The 23,784-nt window shown below is 50.0% G+C and overlaps 1 protein-coding gene across 5 annotated transcripts in view, besides 2 other annotated features; it reads right to left on the bottom strand.

The window, feature by feature from the left end:
• Window positions 1-23,784, bottom strand: part of SCNN1B (sodium channel epithelial 1 subunit beta) — a 103,064-nt gene that overhangs the window by 7,953 nt on the left and 71,327 nt on the right. For 4 of the 5 annotated variants that reach the window (XM_017023525.2, XM_011545913.3, NM_000336.3 and 1 more), the window contains 5 exons: window positions 20,268-20,541; window positions 17,853-18,043; window positions 5,383-5,486; window positions 1,880-2,043; window positions 1,459-1,566 (listed from right to left, as the gene is read on the bottom strand). In XM_017023525.2, coding sequence (XP_016879014.1) covers window positions 1,459-1,566; window positions 1,880-2,043; window positions 5,383-5,486; window positions 17,853-18,043; window positions 20,268-20,541 — 841 coding nt within the window. The remainder of the gene's footprint in view (window positions 1-1,458; window positions 1,567-1,879; window positions 2,044-5,382; window positions 5,487-17,852; window positions 18,044-20,267; window positions 20,542-23,784) is intronic. The other variant, NM_001410900.1, reaches the window with a different exon arrangement.
• Window positions 7,380-7,674: a silencer, noted in NCBI's record as "tiled region #1348; K562 Repressive non-DNase unmatched - State 22:ReprW". NCBI's record gives its function as "represses a minimal TATA promoter and a strong SV40 promoter by Sharpr-MPRA in K562 cells {active_cell/tissue: K562}" and the evidence as "EXISTENCE:reporter gene assay evidence [ECO:0000049][PMID:27701403]".
• Window positions 7,457-7,516: an enhancer, noted in NCBI's record as "active region_10579". NCBI's record gives its function as "activates an Ori minimal core promoter by ATAC-STARR-seq in GM12878 lymphoblastoid cells {active_cell/tissue: GM12878}" and the evidence as "EXISTENCE:reporter gene assay evidence [ECO:0000049][PMID:35858748]".

Below are 23,784 nucleotides of genomic sequence, written 5' to 3'. Positions count from 1 at the left end.
AACCTGGGCAACATAGCAAGACTCTGTCTCTGCAAAAAATTTTAAAAATTAAGAAATTAGCCAGGGACAGTGGCTCATGCCTGTGGTCCTGGCTACTAGGGAGGCTGAGGCAGGCGGATTGCTTGAATCCAAGAGTTCGAGGCTGCAGTGAACTATGATGGCACCACAGCACTTCAGCCTGGGTAACAGAGCAAGACCCTGTCTCTCTTTTTTATTTTATTATTTTACTTTTTTGAGACAAGAGTCTCACTCTGTCACTCAGGCTGGAGTGCAGTGGCGTGATATCAGCTCACTGCAACCTCCGCCTCCCGGGTTCAAGCAATTCTCTTGCCTCAGCCCCCTGCACAGCTGGGACTACAGGCGTGTGCCACGACGCCTGGCTAATTTTTTTTTTTTGTATTTTTAGTAGAGACGGGGTTTCACCATGTTGGCCAGGCTGGTCTTGAACTTCTGACCTCAAGTGATGTACCCGCTTCGCACTCCCAAAGTGCTGGGATTACAGGCGTGAGCCACCATGCCCAGCAATCTCTTTTAAAAAAATAATAATAAAGTCCGGGTGCGGTGGCTCATGCCTGTTATCCCAGCACTTTGGGAGGCCGAGGCGGTGGATCACGAGGTCAGGAGTTCAAGACCAGCCTGGCCAACTTGGTGAAACCCCGTCTCTACTAAAAATACAAAAAAATTAGCCGGTGTAGCGGTGGGCACCTGTAGTCCCAGCTACACGGGAGGCTGAGGCAGAGAATTGCTTGAACCTGGGAGGCGGAGGTTGCAGTGAGCCAATATCACGCCACCGCACTCCAGCCTGGGTGACAGAGTGAGACTCCATCTCAAAAAAAAAAAAAAAGGGACTTCTCAGGTAAATTGATGATGCATTTGAACTGGGGTCTGTCAATCCCAATTTCCTCATTCCCAGAATGGGAATGATAATAGTATCTACATCTTAGGGTTGTTGTGAAAGTTAAATGATGTAATATACATGTAAATTACTTACAACAGTGACTGCCTAACACATGGTAACCCTGCTATTATTAGTTTATCAATAAATGCTGCTGTCATTACTATATTGTAGATTCATGGCAGGAGGCAGTTGAAAGATTAAATGACGATGGAATGTGTTCCAGCCCTTCGCACAGCATTTCACACACAATGGAAGCTTGATGGTGTTAGCTGCTATTTTTTGTTTTCATCTTGGGAAACCCCAGAGTAAGATCCCCATAATCCCCTGGGCTTCCCCAGGGGTACACCTGCCAATGTGGGGATGAGAAGTGGCCAACCCTAGGCCCTGGTGAGAGAGCCCAGGAAAGTGACTGGTCCCACAGGCCCGGGGTGCCCCGTGGCAACCTACAAAGGCCCAGCAGAGCCAGACTTGCTGGGGCCAGCTCTCCCGGAGTACTGAGGCCTTGGCCCCATAAACCCGGACAGGGGCCCCGGGGCATGAGGCGTGCACCACCTTCCCACCTGGATGGAGTAGGTCGTGTTGTAGTCACTGTAGAAGTTTTGGACGGGGACCTCAGAACCATTCACGGTGCACGGGCTGTAGGGCTCCCCCATGCGCTGAAGCTTGTCCTGTGTTTAGAGGGGTTGCTTGAGGGGGACACTGGTCACCCCAGGAAGCCCTTTCTGCACCTCCCTTCTATCAAGCATTTGGGGACAGAGGGCTGTGGACCCCTGCAGGTGCCAGGGGGGGCGCCAGAGGGGGCGCCAGAGGGCTCACCTTCCCCTAAAGCTTGGGCCACCCTGGGGGGATTCCAGCCAAAAGGAAGGAAGGCCAGGGCTGGGGGGCCCAGATCCCCTCCTCCCAGGCCAAGGGCAGTTGGCCCTGGACAGGTGGGCTCCCACCCTCAGACCCTCTAGGACTGCCCTTGGGCTCCGGCCATACCACGAGTACCCCGATGGACGTCTCTGTCCCCGACATGGCGTAGATGCCCTCATCTCTGATGAAGGGGTATGACCTCTGCTCGTGAAGCATCAGCCTGACCCCGGCCGTGGACGCAAGGAAGGGGACGTAGTCTTCCTGGCCTATGTCCAGGATCAACTTCAGGCCTGTGGGGAGGGTGGGGTGAGGGCTGCCTGAACTTTCTCCTGAGGCAGAAAGGAGACCCCACTACCCACTTCTCCAAGCTCCCTCCGGCCAGGGGACCTCCAGGGACCGCCAAGGAGGCTGGCTCCACTTTGCAAAAACTCAGTCCTCAAATACTGCTTGCCTTCTGCAAAGCCCCCATCATCTCTAAGGCAGGCTCTTACGTAGCCTCCTCCCTAGGTGTCTCTTGCCTCCCGTGATCTCTTTTCTGATCAGGAGGTAGATCAAGGAGGCATAGCATGGCCACGGCCCACCCATGCCACCCCACCTCACACCACAGGTGCCCTCGCTGTCCCCGTTCAATGCCTCCGAGCTTCTGCACGCCTTCCTCCTGCTATGCCTTTGCAAATGCTGTTCCCTCACTCTGGAATGCTGTTCCTCACTCTGGAGTGCTGTTCCCTCACCTGGAGTGCTGTTCCTTGCTCTGGAATTCTGTTCTCTCACCTGGAATGCTGTTCCTCAATCTGGAGTGCTATTCCCTAGCTCTGGAATGCTGTCTCTGCCCCTTCCCTTCCCCTAGAAACACATGCTCTTCCCTCAGATCTCAACCAGCATCACTTCCTCCAGAAACGTTCTCTGATGGCTCAGACGAGGTGTCAGGGTCTTGGTTGTACACTTTCCTAGCCCCGGAACTTTCCTTCTGAGTACCTGCCTCATTTGTGTGATTGCTCTTTTATTGTCTGTCTTCCTTCCCCTCTTGACTGTTCTCAAGGGAAGGGACTGGACCCAGTCTCCCACGCACCACGGTCCTGAGCTACGTGGAGTTGAGTCCCTCTGGTTAGGACAATAAGGGCTAGTTGAGCACTTGCTACCTGCGGGGTGATGTGCTAAGGGCCTCATTAAACATGAGCTCCTTGGCCGGGCACAGTGGCTCACACCTGTAATCTCAGCACTTTGGGAGGCTGAAGCGGGCAGATCACTTGAGGTCAGGAGTTCAAGACCAACCTGGCTAACATGGTGAAACCTCGTCTCTACTAAAAATACAAAAATTAGCCAGGCATGGTGGCGGCCACCTGTAATCCCAACTACTCGGGAGGCTGAGGCAGGAGAATTGCTTGAACCTGGGAGACAGAGGTTGTAGTGAGCCGAGATTGCGCCACTGCACTGCAGCCAGGACGACAGAGCAAAACTCCATATCAAAATAGAGAAAAAAAAATACAAAAATTAGTTGGGCATTGTGGCGCATGCCTGTAGTCCCAGCTACTTGGGAAGCTGAGGCAGGAGAATCGCTTGAACCCAGGAGGCGGAGGTTGCAGTGAGCCAAGATTGCGCCACTGCACTCCAGCCTGAGCGAGAGTGAGACTCCATCTCCAAAAATAAAATAAAATAAACATGAGCTCCTCGGATGCTCACAAGGGCTGCATGATGGAGGTACTAGTATTGTCCCCATTTTACAGATGGAGAAACTGAGGCACAGAGAAGTGAAGGGACTTGTCTGAGGTCTTCCAGTGAGGAAGTGCTTTTGCTGGGCTTCTGATACAGCAGCTGGCTCCCTGACTATAACCATCTGCCTCTGGGAGTAAGTTGACTGGCACCTCTGTGGCAGTGCTCTCAGCAGCATGGGGGCTAAGTGAAAGGCACTCAGCTCACCTGCCCTCTTGGCCAGCGGCCCCGATGGTCGCTGAATGAGAGCCTGCCTCTTGGTGGTTGCAGAGGTCAGAACCTAGAGATGGGAGGAGGGATCCACTCCCACCTGTGCCCGGCTCACAAGCCGCAAAACCACAGCCAGCCTGAGTCCACCAGCCCCTCTCTAGGGGTCAGTGCAACACATGAGCCCCGAGGGAGGGGGATCCGTCATCCACCATGCCCCACTTCCTCACTTCCATGGACTCCTTCAGCTTCTCTCTGTGTGTCTCTGTCTTTCTTTAAGAACTGTACAGCTGGGCGCAGTGGATCACATCTGTAATCCCAGTACTTTGAGAGGCCAAGGAGGGCAGATTGCTTGAGCCCAGGAGGTCAAGACCAACCTGGGCAACAGGATGAAACCTTATCTCTACAAAAAATTAGCCACCTGCAATCCTAGCTCCTCAGGAGGCTGAGGTGGGAGGATCACCTGAGCCCAGGAGGTTGAGGCTGCAGTGAGCCATGACCGTGCCACTGCACTCCAGTTTGGGTGACAGAGTGAGACCCTGTCTCAAGAAAACAAACAAACAAACTGTACACCAGAGAGGCAGAGAGACTAAGAGACTGTTATGTATTTCTTTTCTTTTTCTAATTTGTATAAATGTAAGGGGTTCAAGCGCAGTTTTGTTACATGGAATTATTATACAGTGGTGAAGTCTAGGCTTTTAGTGTAACCTTCACTGGAATCATATATACTGTACTCATTAATTTCTTGTCCCTCACCTGCCTCCTACCCTCCCACCCTCTAAGTCTCTGATGTCTCTCCTTCCACACTCTATATCCACGTGTGCACATCATTTAGCTCCCACTTACAGGTAAGAACATGCAATGTCTTTTGGTCCATGTATTAACTGCATGATCCTGGACAAGTTGTTTAAAAACTGCTCAGAATACTCAGCATATATGGAGCATTCCCTACTTCCTAGGCAGGTGAAACGATTTACCACATTACATCGTAATGACTCACAAGGCTTATACTATTTACTCATCATCATGGCTCACACGGTAGATACGATTTACTATACTAAATGCTCTGCTCTGCTACTATATACTAATCTATGATTGGGGAAACTAAGGCTTTGAGAAGGTTGCTCTGGAGCTCAGGAACACCACCCAAGTAAATGGTGGAGCTGCAGTGGTGTGATCATGGCTCACTGCTGCCTTGACCTTCCCAGCTCAAGCGATCTTCCTGCCTCAGCCTCCTGAGTAGCTGGGACTACAGGTACGTGCCATCATGCCTCGCTAATTTTTGTATTTTTTTTTTAAGAGATGGGGTTTCACCTTGTTGCCCAGGCTGGTCTCGAACTCTTGGGCTTGAACAATCCTCCTGCCTCGGCCTCCCAAAGTGTTGGGATTACAGGCATGAGCCACCACGCCTGGCTGAAGCTTGAGCTCTTGACCACGAAGCTGTGCTGCTTCCAAGTCCTCACTTTGCTCATCAGTAAAATGGGAACACCAGTTGCTACCCCACGGATTCTGAACATTGTGGGCGGGAATGGCTGAGGAAGCGCCTGGCCTGGCCTCCCCTGGCACACAGTAGAGCCTCGGTAGCAGCCACTCCTCTTGATGCCTTGGTCCCCCCTCAGTCCCACCCTGCAACAGCTGATGGTCTTTCAGTCCCACATTGTGGGGGTGGTTAAAGCCTCATGGCTCTGGCCCCACGATAAACCAAAACTCACCGAATTCAGTTCCAGGGTTGGCCGAAGGAAGTGCCTTCTCTGTCATGCCCCAGTTGAAGATGTAACAGTTGCCATAGTGAGGGTAGAAGATGGACGTGAAGTTCCTAAAAGAAACAGCATCAGCTGCAGGGCAGGTTCCACCACAGGCAATGCCTCCCCCGACTGTCTGCCGTCCACCTTTCATTTCCTCCTTGGAGGGGCTCCGAAAGGGAGAGGCGAGCAACAGGTCATTCTGTCCATCCTCTGGTCCAAACCAGAGGGGAGATTCCCAGGCTCCCTTGGGAAAGCAGGGGAAGAGAGTTTCTCTGGAGTTGGGGCTCAGGCTCTCTGGTTTGGCCATGAGTTATGAAAAAGAACTTTCTGGCCGGGCGTGGTGGCTCACGCCTGTAATCCTAGCACTTTGGAAGGCTGAGGCGGGAGGACCGCTTGAGGCCAGGAGTTTGAGACCAGGTTGGGCAACATGGTGAGACCCTCATCTCTACAAAAAATACAAAAATTAGCCAGGTGTGGTGGTGCATGCCTGCAGTCCCAGTTACTTGGGAGGCTGAGGTGGGAGGAACGCTTGAGCCCAGGAGTTCGAGGCTGCTTGAGCTATGATTGTGCCACTGCACTCCAGCCTGGGTGACAGAGTGAGACCCTGTCTCTAAAACAACAACAAACAACAACAACAAAAATGAAAAAGAACTTTCTCAGATGTTTTCATCTGTCTCGTATACACCTCAAAAGAGGCACATCCATGTCCTCAGCCCCGGAACCTATGAGTGTGACCTTATTTGGAGAAAGGGTCCTTGCAGATGTGCTAAGGATCTCGAGATGAGGTCATCTTGGATTATCCAGGTGGGCCCGAAATCAAATGACAAGCATCCTTAGAAGACACAGAAGAGAGACAGATACAGAGGAGAAGCTCATTGAAGACTGAGGCAGGGGCCTTCAGACACAAGCCGAGGAACTCCTGGGCCCACCAGAAGGCTCAGGGGAGAATTCCTCCTTGCCTCTTCTGATGACTGGTGTGCTGGAGTTCATCAAACTCTGTTCAGTCGAAGTGCATGTTCTCAAGTCTCCAAAGTAAGCAGCTTTAAAAAATATCTCTTGATGTTTCTATGTTGTTCTTTTTTTATTTATTAAAAATAAGAGGAGGTTGGGAGCGGTGGCTTATGCCTGTAATTCCAGCACTTTGGGAGGCCAAAGTGGGAGGATCACTTGAGCCCAGGAGTTTTGTTTGTTTGTTTGTTTTTGAGACAGAGTCTCACTATGTTGCTCAGGCTGGAGTACAGTGGTGTGATCTCACTCCAGGCTGAGGAGAATCTCAGCGATTCTCCTGCCTCAGCCTCCTGAGTAGCTGGGATTACAGGCACCCGCCACCACACCCGGCTAATTTGTGTATTTTTAGTGCAGATGGGGTTTCATCATGTTGGCCAGGCTGCTCTTGAACTCTTGACCTCGGGTGATCCCCACACCTTGGCTTCCCAAAGTGCTGCGATTACAGGCGTGAGCCACTGCACCCAACTGAGCCCAGGAGTTTGAGATCAGCCTGGCCAACGAATTGAGACCCTATCTCTACAAAAAATAAAAAATAAAATAAAATAAAAAGCCAGGAGTAGTGGTGAGTGTCTGTAGTCCCAGCTACTTGGGAGGCTGATGTGGATTGATCACCTGAGCCTGGGGAGGTTGAGGCTGTAGTGAGCTGTGATTGCACCACTGTACTCCTGCCTGGGCAACAGAGTGAGACTCTGTATCAAAAAAACAATAATAATTTGTAAAAAATTAAAAATAAAAACAGGAAGGAATGAGAGTAAGTACATCAAATAATGCACACACATAAAACGTCACCTGCCATGCAGTATTGTCTTTGAAGCCTTATGCTCCACAGCAAACATTCACTGAGTGACTTTTATGGGCCAGGCCTGTGCTGAATCTTTCTGTATTCGTGATCTCATTTAATTCTCAAAATAACCCCACAAGGGCAGGTGTTATTTTCCCGTGTTTTCAGATAAGAAAGCCATTTCCTGTATCTTTTGTCTCAGCTAGTTGACTTGCAGAATGACTTGGGTCCAGGACAGGCTGTGAAATGGGATATGGGGGCCGACCCAAGCTCTGCCACTGTCAACAGATTTGAGCTGCTTACTCAACCTCTGAGCTTGGGTTTCCTCAACGGTGCAAGGGGAAGCAGGAAGAAACCACATTTTTCCACCCAATAAATGTTTGTTGAGGTGGGTGCTAGGCTAGGGACACTGAGCAAAACAAGACAGGGCTGCCTTTTGCAGCTTCCAGTGTGGCAGAGGACAGAGAGTGGAATCCTATCAACCCCCCTCTCCTTCCAAGATGTGACTTCTTTCTTTTTTCTTTCTTTCTTTCTTTCTTTCTTTCTTTCTCTTTCTTTCTTTCTTTCTTTCTTTCTTTCTCTTTCCTTCTTTCTCTTTCCTTCTCTCTTTCTCTCTTTTTCTTTTCTTTCTTTCTTTTTCTTTCTTTTCTTCTTTTTCTTTCTCTCTTTTCTTTCTCTTTCTCCTTCTCTTTCTTTCTTTCTTCCTTCCTTTCTTTCTCTTTCTTTCTCTCTTTTCTTTCCTTTTCCTTCCTTCCTCCCTTCTTCCCTTTCTCTCTTTCTCTCTTTTCTTTTCCTCCCTTCCTCCCTTTTTCTCTCTTTCTCTCTTTTTCTCTCTTTCTCTCTTTCTTGACAAAGTCTTGCTCTGTTGCCCAGGCTGGAGTGCAATGGCGTGATATTGGTTCACTGTAACCTCTGCCTCCTGGATTCAAGCAATTCTCCTGCCTCAGCCTCCTGAGTAGCTGGGATTACAGGCAGGCACCATCACGCCCAACTATTTTTTTTTTTGTTTTTGAGATGGAGTTTTGCTCTTTCACCCCAGGCTGGAGTGAAGTGGTGCCATCTCAGCTCACTGCAACCTCTGCCCTCTGTGTTCAAGCGATTCTCCTGCCTCAGCCTCCCGAGTAGCTGGGATTATAGGTGCCTGCCACCACAACCAGCTAATTTTTGTATTTTCAGTAGATATGGGGTTTCACCATGTTGGCCAGGCTGGTCTCGAACTCCTGACCTCAGGCAATCCACCCACCTCAGCCTCCCAAAGTGCTAGGATTACAGGCGTGAGCCACCATGCCTGGCCTAATTTTTGTATTTTTAGTAGAGATGGTGTTTCACTATGTTGGCCAGGCTGGTCTTGAACTCCTGACCTCAGGTGATCTCCCACCTCAGCCTCCCAAAGTGCTGAGATTACATGTGTGAGCCACCACGCCAGGCTCCAAGATGTGACTTTAGTCTGTCCACCTGTCTCCACCTCAGACGCTCCCACCCTGGCCCAAGTCACCAGCATCTCATGTCTGGATTCTTGCTGGAGCCTCTGCCTCTGTTCATCCTTAAAGTCTTCCTTCTGCACAGCAGTCAGGGTGATTGTTTAAATTTGTGAGTCAGAGCACGGTACTCCCTTTCTGAGAACCCTCCAAAGGCTTCTTGTCACTCACAGAATAAAGTGCAAAGTCCCTATGCTGGCCTTCTATGTCTCATTCCCTACACTCCAGCGACACTCTAGATGTTTCCAAGCTCAAGGCTTTTGCCTCTGTTGTCCTTTGTGCCTGGAATATTCTCTAACCAGCTCTTCAGATACTGGCTTCTCCCCATCCTTCAGCTTTTATCTGCTCTGAGGCCTCCCTGAACCCCTATGCAAAGTGATGGACTAGAACTATTAGTTAATAGTACTTTATTACTAATAGTAATAGAATTTTCTACCTAGTTACTCTAGATCTTTTCCACCAGTTTATTTATATTTATTTATTTATTTATTTTGAGATGGAGTTTCACTCTTGTTGCCCAGGCTGGAGTGTAGTGGCATGATCTCAGCTCACTACAGCCTCTGCCTCCCCGTTCAAGTGATTCTCCTGCCTCAGCCTCCTGAGTAGCTGGGATTACAGGTATGCGCCACCACGCCTGGCTAATTTTTGTATTATTAGTAGAGACAGGGTTTCACCATGTTAGTCAGGCTGGTCTTGAACTCCTGACCTCAGGTGATCCACCTGCCTTGGCCTCCCAAAGTGCTAGGATTACAGGGTGAGTCACTGCACCTGGCCCTTCAACCAGTTGATTATCTTCTTTATCAGATACATCAGAATCTGAAATCAGCTTCCTTTTTTTTTTTGGTAGAGACAGGGTGTCACTCTGTTGCCCAGGCTGGAGTGCAATGGCGTGATCATAGCTTACTGCAGCCTCAAACTCCTGGCCTTAAGATATTCTCCTGCCTCAGCCTCCTGAGTAGCTGGGACTACAGGCATGTGCCACCACACCCAGCTAATTTGTAAAATTTTTTGTGGAGATGGGGTCTTGCTATGTTGCCCAGGCTGGTCTTGAACTCCTGGCCTCAAGTGATCTTCTGGCCTCAGCCTCCCTAAATGCTGGGATTATAGGCATCCACCACTGTGCCTGGCCTGAAATTATCTTCTTGATTTAATTGCTCACTTAGCTGTCTCCTGCTTAGAACATAAGCCCGGGGAGGGAGCATGACCTTGTCTGTCTGGAAGGAGAAGAGCTCAGAGGTCAAGAGCACAGGCCACAGAGCCAGCCTGCTTGATTTCAATTCTGGCTGTGTCCCTTAGCAGCTGGTGAGCTTTGGGATGGTTACATCACGTCTTCGTGCCTCACTTTCCCCATTTGTAACACCAGATAATACTACCTACATGACTGCGGCAAGGGGTGGATGCCTAGCATACTGTAATACTCAAAAAATCTTGGCTGCTACTGTTCACAGCTCCATGCCCAGGGTCTGGTACAGAGCACACAGACACTCAGTAAATATTTGATGAATAAATTACAATAGGCGATAAGAGCATCGACAGAGATAAGTATGGAGAAGTGACACCCAAGTCCCAGTGGAGAGTGGGGAGCGAGTCAGGGAAGGTTTCCTGGAGGAGGGGAGGCCTGAGCTGAGACTTTATGAACAAGTAAGCGATGGCTAAGTCTACAGGGTAGGGAGGAGAAAGGGCTCACCAGGCAGGGACACAACACAGGCAAAGCCCCAGAGGGAAGAAATAGCTCTGGGCGGGCACCATGGAGTCTATAAACTGTGGGATCAGGGCTGTGGCCACAGGAAAAGAACAGAGCAGAGCAAACCAGCTCAATCCAGGCCCTGCTCTTGAAGGAGAGACCTCGCCCCAGGGCATGGGGACACAGTGTTCCCAAGGAACTGTCTTGGTCAGATGCAGCCCAGGAGCAGGAGGCTGCATGGGGTGTGGCCAGGTCCCCTCCTGCCCGCGCCATGCTCTTGGTCTCCACGTGCGTGCCAACTATTTGCTTGTTGATAATACTCTTCACCCAGAGAGGCTGCTCCCAGGACTGGCTGCCTCTGATTCCAGAGCCAGGTGTTTCCCTACAGAAATCTCTGCTGGGCTGGGAGCCAGGCATGCAGACAGAGACCAGTGAGCCTCCAGAAAAGACTGGGAAATAGAGCATCCTAGCAGGAAGCAGTATAACCACTGTTGTGTGGTCAGAGGTCAGGAAAGACTTTCCAGGGCAGAAACTAGTTGGATAATCCCTGAAACAACAACAACCATAGTAATAATAATGCTTATATATGCCCAGATCTTGGTTTCTTTATTTTTAAATTTTATTTAACTTTATTTTTTTTTTTTTTGAGATTGCTCAGGCTGGAGTGCAGTGGCATGATCTTGGCTCTATACAACCTCTGCCTCCCAGGTTCAAGTGACTCTCCTGCCTCAGCCTCCCTAGTAGCTGGGATTACAGGTGCATGCCAACACACCCGGCTAATTTTTGTATTTTTAGTAGAGATGGGGTTTTGCCATGTTGGCCAGACCGGTGTCAAACTCCTGGGCTTAGGCAATCCTTCCACCTCGGCCTCCCAAAGTGCTGGGATTACATACATAAGCCACCATGCTTGGCCCAGATCTTGGTTTCTAAATACCATTCTTCAATTTAAAAAACCAGAGCTTGGGCAAGTCTTGTTGGCTCTCTCCTGTAATCCCAGCACTTTAGGGGGCTGAAGTGGGAAGATTGCTTGAGCCAGGAGTTTGAGACCAGCTTGGGCAACATAGGGAGACCCCATCTCTACAAAATAAAAAAATTAATCGGGCACGCGATTGTGTCACTGCACTCCAGTATGGACAACAGAGTGAGATCCCATCTCAAAAAAAACAAAAACAAAAACAAACAAACAAACAAAACAACCAAAAAACCAAACAGAGCTCTTTAGAGAAATGGCTGATTCTAGGGCGGGGGCATCCTGTAGTGCCAGAAAGTAGGCAAAAGTTAAAAAACCCACCCAGGTGAGGACATATCAAAGGCACACAGGTGCTAACTGACAGAGTGGCCAAAGCTAGAAGAATTTAAGCAAGAGAATAGATAACAAGGAATTGGATTACAACCTAAATCTACAGGAGTCCATACTGTGTCAATAAATGATGGAATAAATAAATAAATGGAGGAGATGAGACAAATCTTCCTTTACAGAAGAATTCCAAATAATATATATTCTTCTCTCTAGGAGGGGTGGAGCTCAATGCTCCTTTCCCACTGGCCACTCCCTTCCCCTTCCCCTGAGCGTAGTCTGAATTTAGTGACTCCTTTCCAAAGTACAGAGCAAAGGCCAGCACAGTGGCTCACATCTGTAATCCTAGTACTTTTGGAGGCTGAGGAGGGAGGATCACTTGAGTCCAGGAGTTGGAGGCTGTGGTTTTTCTGTAAATCTAAAACTATTCCTCGATAAAAAGTCTCTCTAGGCCAGGCGCAGTGGCTCATGCCTGTAATCCCAGCACTTTGGGAGGCTATGGCAGCAGATAACCTGAGGTCAGAAGTTTGAGACCAGCCTGGCAAACATGGTGAAACCCTGTCTCTACTAAAAATACAAAATTTACGCTGGGCACAGTGGCTCATGCCTGTAATCCCAGCACTTTGGAAGGCTGAGGCGGGTGGATCATGAGGTCAGGAGATCAAGACCATCCTGGCTAACACAGTGAAACCCTGTCTCTACTAAAAATACAAAAAATTAGCCGGTTGTGGTGGCGGCTGCCTGTAGTCCCAGCTACTCGGGAGGCTGAGGCAGGAGAATGGTATGAACCCGGGAGGCGGAGCTTGTGGTGAGCCGAGATAGTGCCACTGTACTCCAGCCTGGGCGACAGAGTGAGACTCTGTCTCAAAAAAACAAAACAAAACAAAACCAAAAACCAAAAACCAAAAACCAAAAATTAGCCAGGTGTGGTGGTGCATGCCTGTCATCCCAGCTACTCGGGGGGCTGAGACACGATAATCACTTGAACCCGGGAGGCAGAGGTTGCAGTGAGTGGAGATTATGCCATTGTATTCCAGCCTGGGGGCAAGAACAAAACTCCGTCTCAAAAAAAAAAAAAAAAAAAAAACCACCACCACCACCAACAACAAAGTCTCTCTCTCTATATTTTACTCTCACTCTGTCACCCAGGCTGGAATGCTGGAATGCAGTGGTGTGATCTTGGTTCACTGCAGCCTCAAACTCCGAGGCTCAAGTGATCCTTCCCCCTCAGCCTCCAGAGTAGCTGAGTCTACAGGTGTGTACCACCACGCCGGGCTAATTTTGTTATTTTAAAATTGTTTTTTGTAGAGATGGGGGGTCTCACTATGTTGCTCAGGTTGGTCTTAAACTCCTGGCCTCAAGCGATTCTCCCTCCTTGGCCTCCCAAAGTGCTGGGATTAAGTGAGCCACTGCACCTGGCCAAAAGCCTTTTTATTTATTTATTTATTTGTTTATTTATTTATTTATTTATTTATTTTTTTGAGATGGAGTCTCGCTCTCTCTCCCAGGCTGGAGTGCAGTGGCATGATCTCAGCTCACTGCAACCTCTGCCTCCTGGGTTCAGCCTCCTACCTCAGCCTCCCGAGTAGCTGGGATTATAGGCGTGAGCCACTGCACCCAGCTAATTTTTGTATTTTTAGTAGAGATGGGGTTTCACTATGTTTGCCAGGCTGGTCTCAAACTCCTGACCTCAGGTGATCTGCCTGCCTCGGCTTCCCAAAGTGCTGGGATTATAGGCGTGAGCCACCATGCCCGGCCCAAAAGCCTTTTTAAAAAAATGCTCCTATAATGTTTACTATGTGCCAGGCATTGCACCAGGTACTTTGCATATGTTCTCATTTAATCCCCCAATAATGCTATGTGGTTATTTCACTGTCCCCACTTTCCAGGTGAGGAAACTGAGGCACAGAAAGGCTAAGTAGCATGCCCAGTCACATACTGAGCTGACATTCAAGTCCAGGCAGTTTGGTGTTGGGGTCCACATGCGGCTCACATTTTCCTAATTCTGCAGCTGCTGCTTCTAGAGTGTTTGTCATGTTAGGAGGGGGACAGGATGGAGTCAGAGAGAGAGGGAGGAAGCAGGGGCCACAGTGTCTGTGGCCCAGCACCGGGAGAGCAGAGAGGCACATTCCCACAGCTGTGTCCAAGGCTGACTCAGGAAGGCAGATGACCAGTCAACTGTGGGAGTGAGGAAGAGCTCAGAGAGCAGTTGGCTGAGATCTCTATGCTAAGGTGCCTGGATGGTACCTTTCACTGGGACCTGCCGAGGGCTGGGGAAATAGGCTTGGGAGAGGTGGGTAGGGAGGGAAGATGACGATCACCCTTTCTGATGAGGCAATAGAGTGATGCGGGGTGGGCCTGGCCCAGACTGCTAGCTCTGCCACTCACCAACTGTGTGACTTCAGAGATGTTACTTAACCTCTCTGGGCAGGTTACAGCAACTATAAAATGATGGGGAAGGCTGGGCGCGGTGGCTCATGCCTGTAATTCCAGCACTTTGGGAGGCTGAGGTGGGAGGATCACTCGAGGCCAGGAGTTTGAGACCAGCCTGGGCAACAGAGTGATACCCTGTCTCTTAAAAAAATAAAATAAGGGGAAAATAACAGCTCCTTTCTCATGACTTTGTTGCCAGAGTGAAAGCAATTTTAACACACAAAGTGCTTAGAATAGTGCCTGACACCTACAGGGACGAGAAAGGCCCAGTAAATGTTGGCATAATTATTGAATTTGCATTCCTTGTCAAATTGGGGTTTTTGTTTTTGTTGCTGTTTTTTAAGAGAGTCTCCCCCTGTCGCCCAGGCGGGAGTGCAGTGGCACAACCTCGGCTCACTGCAACCTCTGCCTTCCGGGTTCAAGTGATTCTCGTGCCTCGGTCACCTGAGTAGCCGGGATTACAGGCATGCGCCACCACACCTGGCTAATTTTTGTATATTTAGTAGAGATGGGGTTTTGCCTTGTTGTCCAGGCTGGTCTCGAACCCCTGGTCTCAAGCGATCTGCCAGCTTCGGCCTCCCAAAGTGCTGGGATTATAGGCATGAGCCACTGAGCCCAGCCTAAAATGTGGGTTATAAAACTATTATAAAAGTAATAGTTATAACTATTATTTATTAAGCCCAGTAGTAGGGTCAGTTACTCATGCATATTAATTCACTTAATATTCAAAGTAACCATGTAGGGTAGGTATTGTTCTCTCCCCTATTTTACAGAGGAGGGAAACTGAGGCACAGCAAGGCTAAGAAACTTGTTCAAGGTCACACAGCTTGTAAGATGGAGCCAGGATTTGAGTCTAGGTGGTCTAACCCCAGACCCCAAGCCTTGACCCTTTCATTACACTTACCCCCTACCCCTCGCACATGGCAGAAGTTATGTGGCCAATATTTGGGGGTTTTAGTGGCCCATCAGCCAGCTATTTTCCCTGTTTCTGCTAACAGTTCTTTAGCTTCCCTTGGGGGACCACCCGTCCCTCACCCTCAGCCCATATGACTCAAATGGGGCTCCTTTTGGAGGGTGCTATGTTGACAACAGGCCAGCTATACCCAGCCCAGCCCAGCTACCCATGAGGTGGCCGGCACAGCTTTCGGGGCTGGGCTGTGAGTGGAACACAGGCCCTTGAACACTGGGATCCCGTTGGATGGGTAGGGAGTTGACAGCAGGTTCACTTTCCTGCCCCACTCTCGCTCCTGGGCGTGTTCTCACTGAGCAGATGGGCCATGCACTTGAAGTTGCAGTGTTACAGCTCTCTTTCAGCTGAGCGGGTGAGATGAATGTGCTTGTGGACATTACAGTAGTCTGTTTGGTATCCCTAGCCTTATGGCAGGTGTGGTTGGCGGGTGTGCCCTGAGCAAAGGACCCTGGCCAAGACAGTGAGGCTGAAACACAGACTGTGACCAGCTAGCCATGGGGTGGCCCTCAAGGAAGAGGGTATCCCATCAGCAGGGCGCCATCAGTCAAATCTTCCACCTATGGGAACCACCTTTTGCTAATCTGTACAATGGGACATATGTGCTGCTCTGTCCTGCTTAGTGGCCTTGAATTATTTGACATTGTGTGCAAGAACCCTGCCCATGTGTGCCTGTGCATTTGTTTTTTCCTTTTTAATACAGAGTCTCACTCTGCTGCCCAGGCTGAAGTGTAGTGGCGCGATCTCTGCTCACTACAACCTCCGCCCCTGGGGTTCAAGCGATTCTCCTTCCTCAGCCTCCCAAGTAGCTGGGATTATAGATGTGCACCACCACTCCCGGTTAATTTTTGTATTTTTAGTAGAGACAAGGTTTCGCCATGTTGGCCAGGCTAGTCTCGAACTCCTGACCTCAGGTGATCCACCCGCCTTGGCCTCCCAAAGTGTTGGGCTTACAGGCGTGAGCCACATGTCCGGTTGCACCTGTGCATTTTGAGGGGACAGAGGCCCCAGAGCTTTCTGAAGAATTCTCATTAGAGGTTCTGGAAGGTTCTGAGTTCAGAGAGCTGCCTGCAACCCCAGTCCCTCGGAGGTGAGCTTGGAAGCCTGTCACGTGCCCATAGCATTAAGATTCAGCTAAAAGCTCCTTTCCACAGAGGCCTGAAGTGTGAGCATTGGAGGCCCCAGATCAAGGAGGATACCATCGAATCTCAGAAACAGGACTGGCTGAAACCTGGGGTGGGGCCGAGGTGGGTGTGGCATACCCCACACCTGGAGGCTGGGTCAGGAGGCCGACAAGGGGCTCTGAGGCCTCAGCAGTGTTCCTGCCCATCCTCAGGCCTCCTTCCCACGTGCTTCTGCCAGCTGAGCTCTCTGGAGGCTGTTAGGAGGGGATAGAATGGAGATTCCCCCCGTTTCTGGTTGTCCTAGAGACTGGGACAACACCTGATGCTTAGGCCCAGGGTTGGTTTGCCAGGAGCTGGGAGGCCAAGGAGGTGGGAATCTGTGGGTCAATTGCAAGAAGACCTAGACCTCCAGGGTTACCATTACCCTCATTCTGCCAGTCTCTCATATTAAAGGTTGTTAGGGAAAAAGAATATTTACAGGAAACACTTTTATAACCTCGTGTTTTTTTGTTTTTTGTTTTTTTTTTTTAAGAGACAGGGTCTCATTCTGTCACCCAGACTGGAGTGCAGTGACGTGATCATGGCTCACTGTAGCTTCGACCTCCTGGACTCAAGTGATCCTCCCTCCTCAGCCTCCTGAGTAGTTGGGATTACAGGTGAGCATGACTATATCTGGCTGGTTTTTGATTTTTTGTAGAGATGAGGTCTCGCTATGTTGCTCAGGCTGGTCTTGAACTCCTGGCCTCAAGCGATCCTCCTGCCTTAGCCTCCCAAAGTGCTGGGATTCCAGGCATGAGCCACCACGCCCAGCCTCATAGCCTTGTTCTAGGTGCTGCCATGAACTTACTCATTTACTCTTCTCAATGACCCTATGAAGAAGCTACGATTATTGTTCTTGCTTCAGAGATGAGAAAACCGAGGCAACAGATGCCTGGGTGCCCACCCTGATCCCCTCATCGGGCTGGTGCACCCACCCCCAGCTGCTAGAAGTGAGGTCTGGGAGGTTAGGAGACACCTCATCAACCTGTTGGGAATGACCCACAGCCAGTGACCAGCTCACGGGGCACGCAGAAAGGCTGGTCCCCTCCTTCAAGGGAGGACCACTCTGGTTCAGTTTATGCTCCAGATCCTCCCACAGATCAAGCTGAGCCTAGACTTTACCTAAGACCACATCCTTGTTTAACTTTTTCCTCCTTCCTTTTAAAATTTAATTTATTTTACTATTTTCTAGAGCTGGAGTCTCACTATATTACCCAGGCTGGTCTTGAACTCCTGGTCTCAAGCGATCCTCCCGTCTCCACCTCACAAAGTGCTGGGACTACAGGGGTAAGCCACCCACCCACCACGCCCAGCCTTTCCTTTTTCTTTTTCTATTTTCTCCTTTTCCTACATGTTCCAAATCCTCCTTCCTTATCCCACTTTCCCTGCAGACTTTTCCTAACACAGTTCTCTCAATGCTTCGCGAGCTCTTCAATACATCCCTGCCTCAGGCTCTGCCTCCAGGAAACAGGACCTAAAAGACACCGAGGCACAGAAAACTGTGCTGCAGATAGCCGGTAAGTGGCTGGGCAGGATTGGAACCCTGGCAGGCTGTGCTCCCAACCGTAACATGCCACTGTCTCTCGGTGCCAGGGCCTGGCCGGGTGGGCTTGGGGTGGCTCTCACCGGTAGTTGCAGGGCTCAGCTCCGAATAGGCAGGCCAGGATCATCTGCTCGCCGGGGTAGCTCATCTCTACTAGCTCCTGCTGTGGCACCTGTGCAAAGATGTTGGTGGCCTGCAGGATGTACCACTCTGTCAATGCCTGGGTAGCACTGGTGAAGTTCCGGAAGGTACACTGGGTCCTGTTGAGGCTACACTGTGGAGGCCAAGAGGGGTTTTTGTGGGTGGCGTGGGAGCTGCTAGCAGGACCCCAGCCACTGCTCGAGGGCCCTAGCAGGGCAAGAGCTGTGCTTTGCCAGCCACCTTTCTGGCTGCAACTTGGTGGTGGGAAACGTTCACACTCATGCTCACACATGCTCAAGGGCTACTGCCTCATACACAGCTGTGTGCTGACCACAAGATCCCCTCATCAGGCTGGTGCACCCACCCCCAGCTGCTGAGGGTGAGGCCTGGGAGGTTAGGAGACCCCTCAGCAACCTCTTGGAAGTGACCCACAGCCAGTGACCAACTCATGGGCATGCACAGAGGCTGGTCCCCTCGTTCAAGGGAGGGTGACTCAGTGGCTCAGTTTACAGCCACCAGCCTCACCCCTACTTGTACCATTATGCATGGGCAAAAACACACACACGGTCATGTGTGCAGAGGCATGCACAGAAGATGCCCTCTCTCTGACCTCCACAGCCTCATGTCATTGTAACACACATCCATCCTAGCCCCGAACCCCATATACATAGATTCACACAAGTGGCCGCAACACTTATGCTCACACACACACGCACGCACACACACAGTTCTGATTCCTTTTCCAGCCTCTGCCAGAGACTTCCAGATGCAGCTCCCCTGGAGGCCATGAAGACCAAGAAGAAACTCAACACACAGGAAATGCTGCCTCTTATCTGTCCTGGGAAAGACACAGACCCAGTCACACTGAGCCCACCACAGGGTGCAGAGCACCCTTCCATCTGGTCACATCCGGCTTCTCATGACATCCAAGTCATCGCACAGACACGTGACAGACTTGGCCCTGGGACTCTGGCCTTGGCCACGAGGCTGCTGCTGGTTCTCCCTGCTGGAACCCGGGAAGCCGGATAGAGAAGCTTCCCCTGGCATTCTTACACCACCCTTCCCAACACGCCCGGCCAGCCCACTCCTGGGGGCCTCCCTGCCTCCCCTTGGGGAAGTAATGGCAGCCCTTAATCCTTACCCTGTTCCGGGCTTTGTTCCCAGTGTCTTACATCTATAATCCCATTGAAGCTTCACAGCAAAGCTAGGAGGTAAGTATCATTGTTATCCCCATCATCATGAGGAAATTGAGGCCCAGGAGGTTAAGGAAGGTGTGACCACAGCAGATCCCCCATATGACGTCGGCTAGTTTGTGTGGAGAGGTGGGGATAAAGCAGTTGTGGAAGTCATAACGCCATGAGTGTGAGCAGCAAGGCAGTGGCTCCCCATCTGGGGAGTGTATGGTCCCCTCCTGGATCCCCATCCAAGATTGATTATCAGAATCACCAGGGAGCCTGTTGTCAATACAGATTCCTGGGCCTGGGCCCAGAACTGCTCACTCAGATTCTCCAGGAGTGGGGCCTAGGGATGTGTATTGTGACAGAGCTCCCAGGAGATCCTGAGACACGGGCAGGGGACCTTCTCCCCACTTCTAGGCTTAAGAACTAATGGCATACCAGCCTCCCAGTGCAGGGCAGTTGTTTCTTGGCATGTGACTGTACTGCACAGCTGTGGCTTTTCACCTGCCCAATATTTATGCCCCTATCTTTTGATAACAAGACTTAGTTCCTCCCTCAGGGAACCACCTTCCCCCTTGCTCAGTCCATGTGGTCTCACAGAGGCTGACATCACTCCCAACTCCAGGGCACATGGCCCAGGACTGGCCAATCATGAGAGCCCCTGCTGTAGCCCACAGTGATTGGTTTAGGGGTGAGCATGTGATCTAATGAGTCTTCTTAGGACCTTTGCTGGGACTATAGGGAAAGAGCTCTTTTTCTGGGACCACTGCTAAGCAAGGGCACTGAGGGGATCCCTCCACATGGAGAGATCTTGCCTGAGAGTGAAGTCGCCTGAGAGAAAAGTTGAACCAAGACGGAGAAAGATTCCTGATGACCTCATTAGAATACCTGGATCCAGCCTTGCCTGAATGCAGTATACCTCTGGATTTCTTAGTCATGTGAGCCAATGAATCGCCTGTTTTGCTTAAGCTAGTGTGAGCTGGATCACTTATACCAAAGGAGTCTTGACTAACATGCCAAAAATTTCTATTTTTAAAAAATCTCTGCAAACAAGCAAAACAGGCTCTGGCTTCCATCTTGTCTTTCCCCCAGCGAGACTCAAATTACTACAGAAAAGAAACACCCATCAGCCTCACTGGGTGGGGCCCATTGCTTGATATGTGCCCAGGGACCACTTACTAGTCTCATGGCCATTTTGCACCCGTGGGCATTACAGATCTTTTCTGATGCTGAGCTGCTTGTTAAGCCATTGTGGTTGTCTCCAAAGAGATCAAGGACCATGGGGTGGTGGGGGTTCCGTTCATCAATAAGGACCAGGGGTGTGTGGTTCCAGATGGAGAAGTTCAGGTTCCTGGTGGCATTGGCATGGCTTAGCTCAGGAGCCAGGATTCTCTCCAGGACAGCTTCCATCAGCTCATCCAGGTCCTTCAGCAAATGCTTGATTTTGGAATACCTGGATGGGGAGAGGGCTGGTTAGGGGGAAGGAATGCATATCTGTAAAGCAGAGCAAATGAAATCTGGGACCCACTCCATAGTAGTCTGTTTTCACACTGCTATAAAGATACTACCTGAGACTGGGTAATTTATAAACAGAAGAGGTATAATTGACTCACAGTTCTACATGGCTGGAGAGAGGTCTCAGGAAACTTACAATCATGGCGGAAGGTGAAGGGGGAAGCAAGGCATGTCTTACATGGCAGCAGGAGAGAGAGAGAAAGAGAGTGCACAGGGGAGACTGCCACTTTAAAACCATCAGATCTTGTGAGAACTCACTCACTATCACGAACACAGCATGCGGAAAGCCGCCCGTATGATCTAATCACCCACACCAGGTCCCTCCCTCGACACATGGGGGTTACAATTCAATATGATATTTGGGTGGTGACACTGAGCCAACCATATCACACTGCTACTCCAGCATGGCTGCCACTATGTATAAGAAGAACACCCCACCTAAGCACCCACCTCTCCGTCCACCCACCCATGCATCCATCTTTCCACCACCCATGCACTCATTCATTCACCAACTTTTAATGAGCACCTACTATGTGCCAGGCACTGTGCAAGGCACAGACGATACAGTAGCAAACAAGAGGGACCTGGTCTCTTTCCTTATGAAATTCACATTCGAGTGAGGAAGAATTGTAATGGCTCATGGTTATTGATAGCTTACCATGTGCCAGGTGCTAGGTGCTTTCCAGGTCTTGTTTGCCACAAGTCTGTTACCGTCCCCATATATAGCTCAGGAAACTGAGGCTCCAGGAGTTGGTGTGATTTTGCAAGCTCACTCCACTGATAAAGGGCAGAGGTGAGTTTAGAATCTGGGTTTGGTGGGCTCCAGTGGGTATGTTTATGGGGGTTCTGAGATCTCCCTCCCAGGGGGGAGCAACTTTGGGAACAGGAGCCAGTTTCAAGAGAGAGAAAATGAATGGGACTGTGAGGCTGGCTCCAATGTCTTCCCTCAGCCCTGTGGCGCTCCCATGTTGGACATGGTGGCCAGTGAGAGATGGATCTATCAAGAAGTATCTCTGCGGGGCCGGGCCCTGCACCCCAGTCACTTCATGTCCAATTTACCCAAGACCCTGCCTCAAAGTGGGGTAATTGAGGCCACAAATGCCAACTCTGGCTGGAGAACTTCCTGCAGGAGCATTAAATGCTGGACAGAGGCCAAGGTCCTGGTACAAAGGTGTACAGCAGCCAGAGCTAACGTTGGCCTTCGATGCCAGTTCCCTGACCATTAAATCTGTGTACACAGGAACAGGAGGATGGGGAAGGGTGGCGTCTGTGCAGGTGGTGGTGTTATTACAGCCTAGATGTTCACAGCTTCTGGGAAGCTTGATGGGTCACTGTATGGGCTCCAGGTTTGAATCCTGGCATGCCACTTAATATCTTGGGCAACTTAACCTCCCTGAGGCTCTGTTCTCTCATCTACAAAACAGGGGGATAAAAATAAGTAACCCAGAGAATCGTTGGGAAGATTCAATGAGGTGCTGCTTATAAAATGCATGGATCAGTGCCCAGAAGGAGTGCTGTCGTTCCTATTATTATTAAAGATTCTCTTGAGCAGCTCTAAGAACCCACCAAGGCAGGAAGAACCCTATTAATAGAAAGAAGGGACTTTCTGATAATTGGGAAAGTAATCACTATGTGAGAATTCCCTTCTAGGACTTTTAAAAACAGAGATGCTGTCTCACCATGTTGGCCATGCTGACCTTGAACTCCTGGCTTCAAGTGATCCTTAAGCCTCGGCCTCCCAACATGCTCTGATTTCAAGCCTGAGCCACTGTGCCCGTGCCCAGTCAGGACTTTCTTTTGCTTTCTTTCTTTTCTTTTTTTTAATTGAGACAAGGTCTTGCTCTGTCACCCAGGCTGGAGTGCAGTGGCGAGATCTCGGCTCACTGCAACCTCCACCTCCTGAGTTCAAGTGATTTTCCTGCCTCAGCCTCCTGAGTAGCTGGGTTTACAGGCATGTGCCAGCACACCCGGCTAATTTTTGTATTTTTAGTAGAGATGGGGTTTCACCATGTTGGGCAGGCTGGTCTCGAACTCCTGACCTCAAGTAATCCACTCGCTTTGGCCTCTCAAAATGCTGAGATTACAGGCGTGAGCCACTGTGCCCGGTCAGGACTCTCTTTTGGATAAAAATGTTTTCTGTGACTCAGCCCTTCTTTCAGTTCCTTGAATGCACCAAGCATCTCACCAGCTGCACCTGCTGTATCCAAGACTGGGGGCACTCTCTTCACCATATCTGGCCAACTTCTACTCATTCCTTAGGGCACTTTTTTTTATTTTTTGTTTTTGGACTGACTCCCTGTCTCTCCATAACCCTGACTAGGTTGGGTCTCCTCTTGTGTCCCCTTCACAGGTCTTGCTATCAAGCGGAGAATGGAGAACGGGCAATCCGGAAGAATGGTTAAAAAGTAGCAGTTCTGGGATCACATCAGGCCTAGATTCAAATCCCACAGTCTTCCACTGTGCATCTCCAGGCAAGCTCACTTACTTCTCTGAACCTCCATCTCCTCACCTGTAAACTGGGGCTGCGACAGGAGTTCCCAATCCTAGGGTGGTTGTGTGGATTAGAATGACACCAATTATCCAAAGAACACTGAACACAGTGCCTAGCATATCATAAGCATTTGTTGAAGAGTGGTTTTATTTATTTATTTTTTAATTTTTGAGACAGGATCTTGTTCTGTTGCCCAGGCTGGAGTGCAGTGATGCAATCTCAGCTCACTATAACCTCTGCCTCTCGGGGTCAAGCAATTCTCGTGCCTCAGCCTCCTAAGTAGCTGAGATTACAGGCATTGCCTGTATTTTTAGTAGAGTTGAGGTTTCACCATGTTGGCCAGACTGGTCTCAAACTCCTGACCTCGAGTAATCTGCCCACCTCAGCCTCTCAAAATGCTGGGATTACAGGTATGAGCCATGGTGCCCGGCTGAGTTGTTTTATTTTTTATCATCATAATGATGATGAATTCGATATTTGTGGGGACAACTTTGTGGGGCATGTTTGCTCTGGCAGGCTGTGAAGAGGACAGGGACTCTGTTTTGTTAACTGTTGTATTTGTGTTGCCTAGGACAGTGCCTGGCACATAGTAGGTGCTCCGTAAACACGCGTGGAATCGATAAATAGGCACTGGCCTGCCTGAAGACAGAGGGTGCCCAAGGTTCTCTCTAAGCCTAGGAAACTTATGAT

The sequence above is a fragment of the Homo sapiens genome, chromosome 16, assembly GCF_000001405.40.
Source record: "Homo sapiens chromosome 16, GRCh38.p14 Primary Assembly".
NCBI classification, from domain to species: Eukaryota; Metazoa; Chordata; class Mammalia; order Primates; family Hominidae; genus Homo; species Homo sapiens.
The sequence above is the reverse complement of the archived record's forward strand: the minus strand, read 5'-3'. Positions and strand labels throughout refer to the sequence as shown.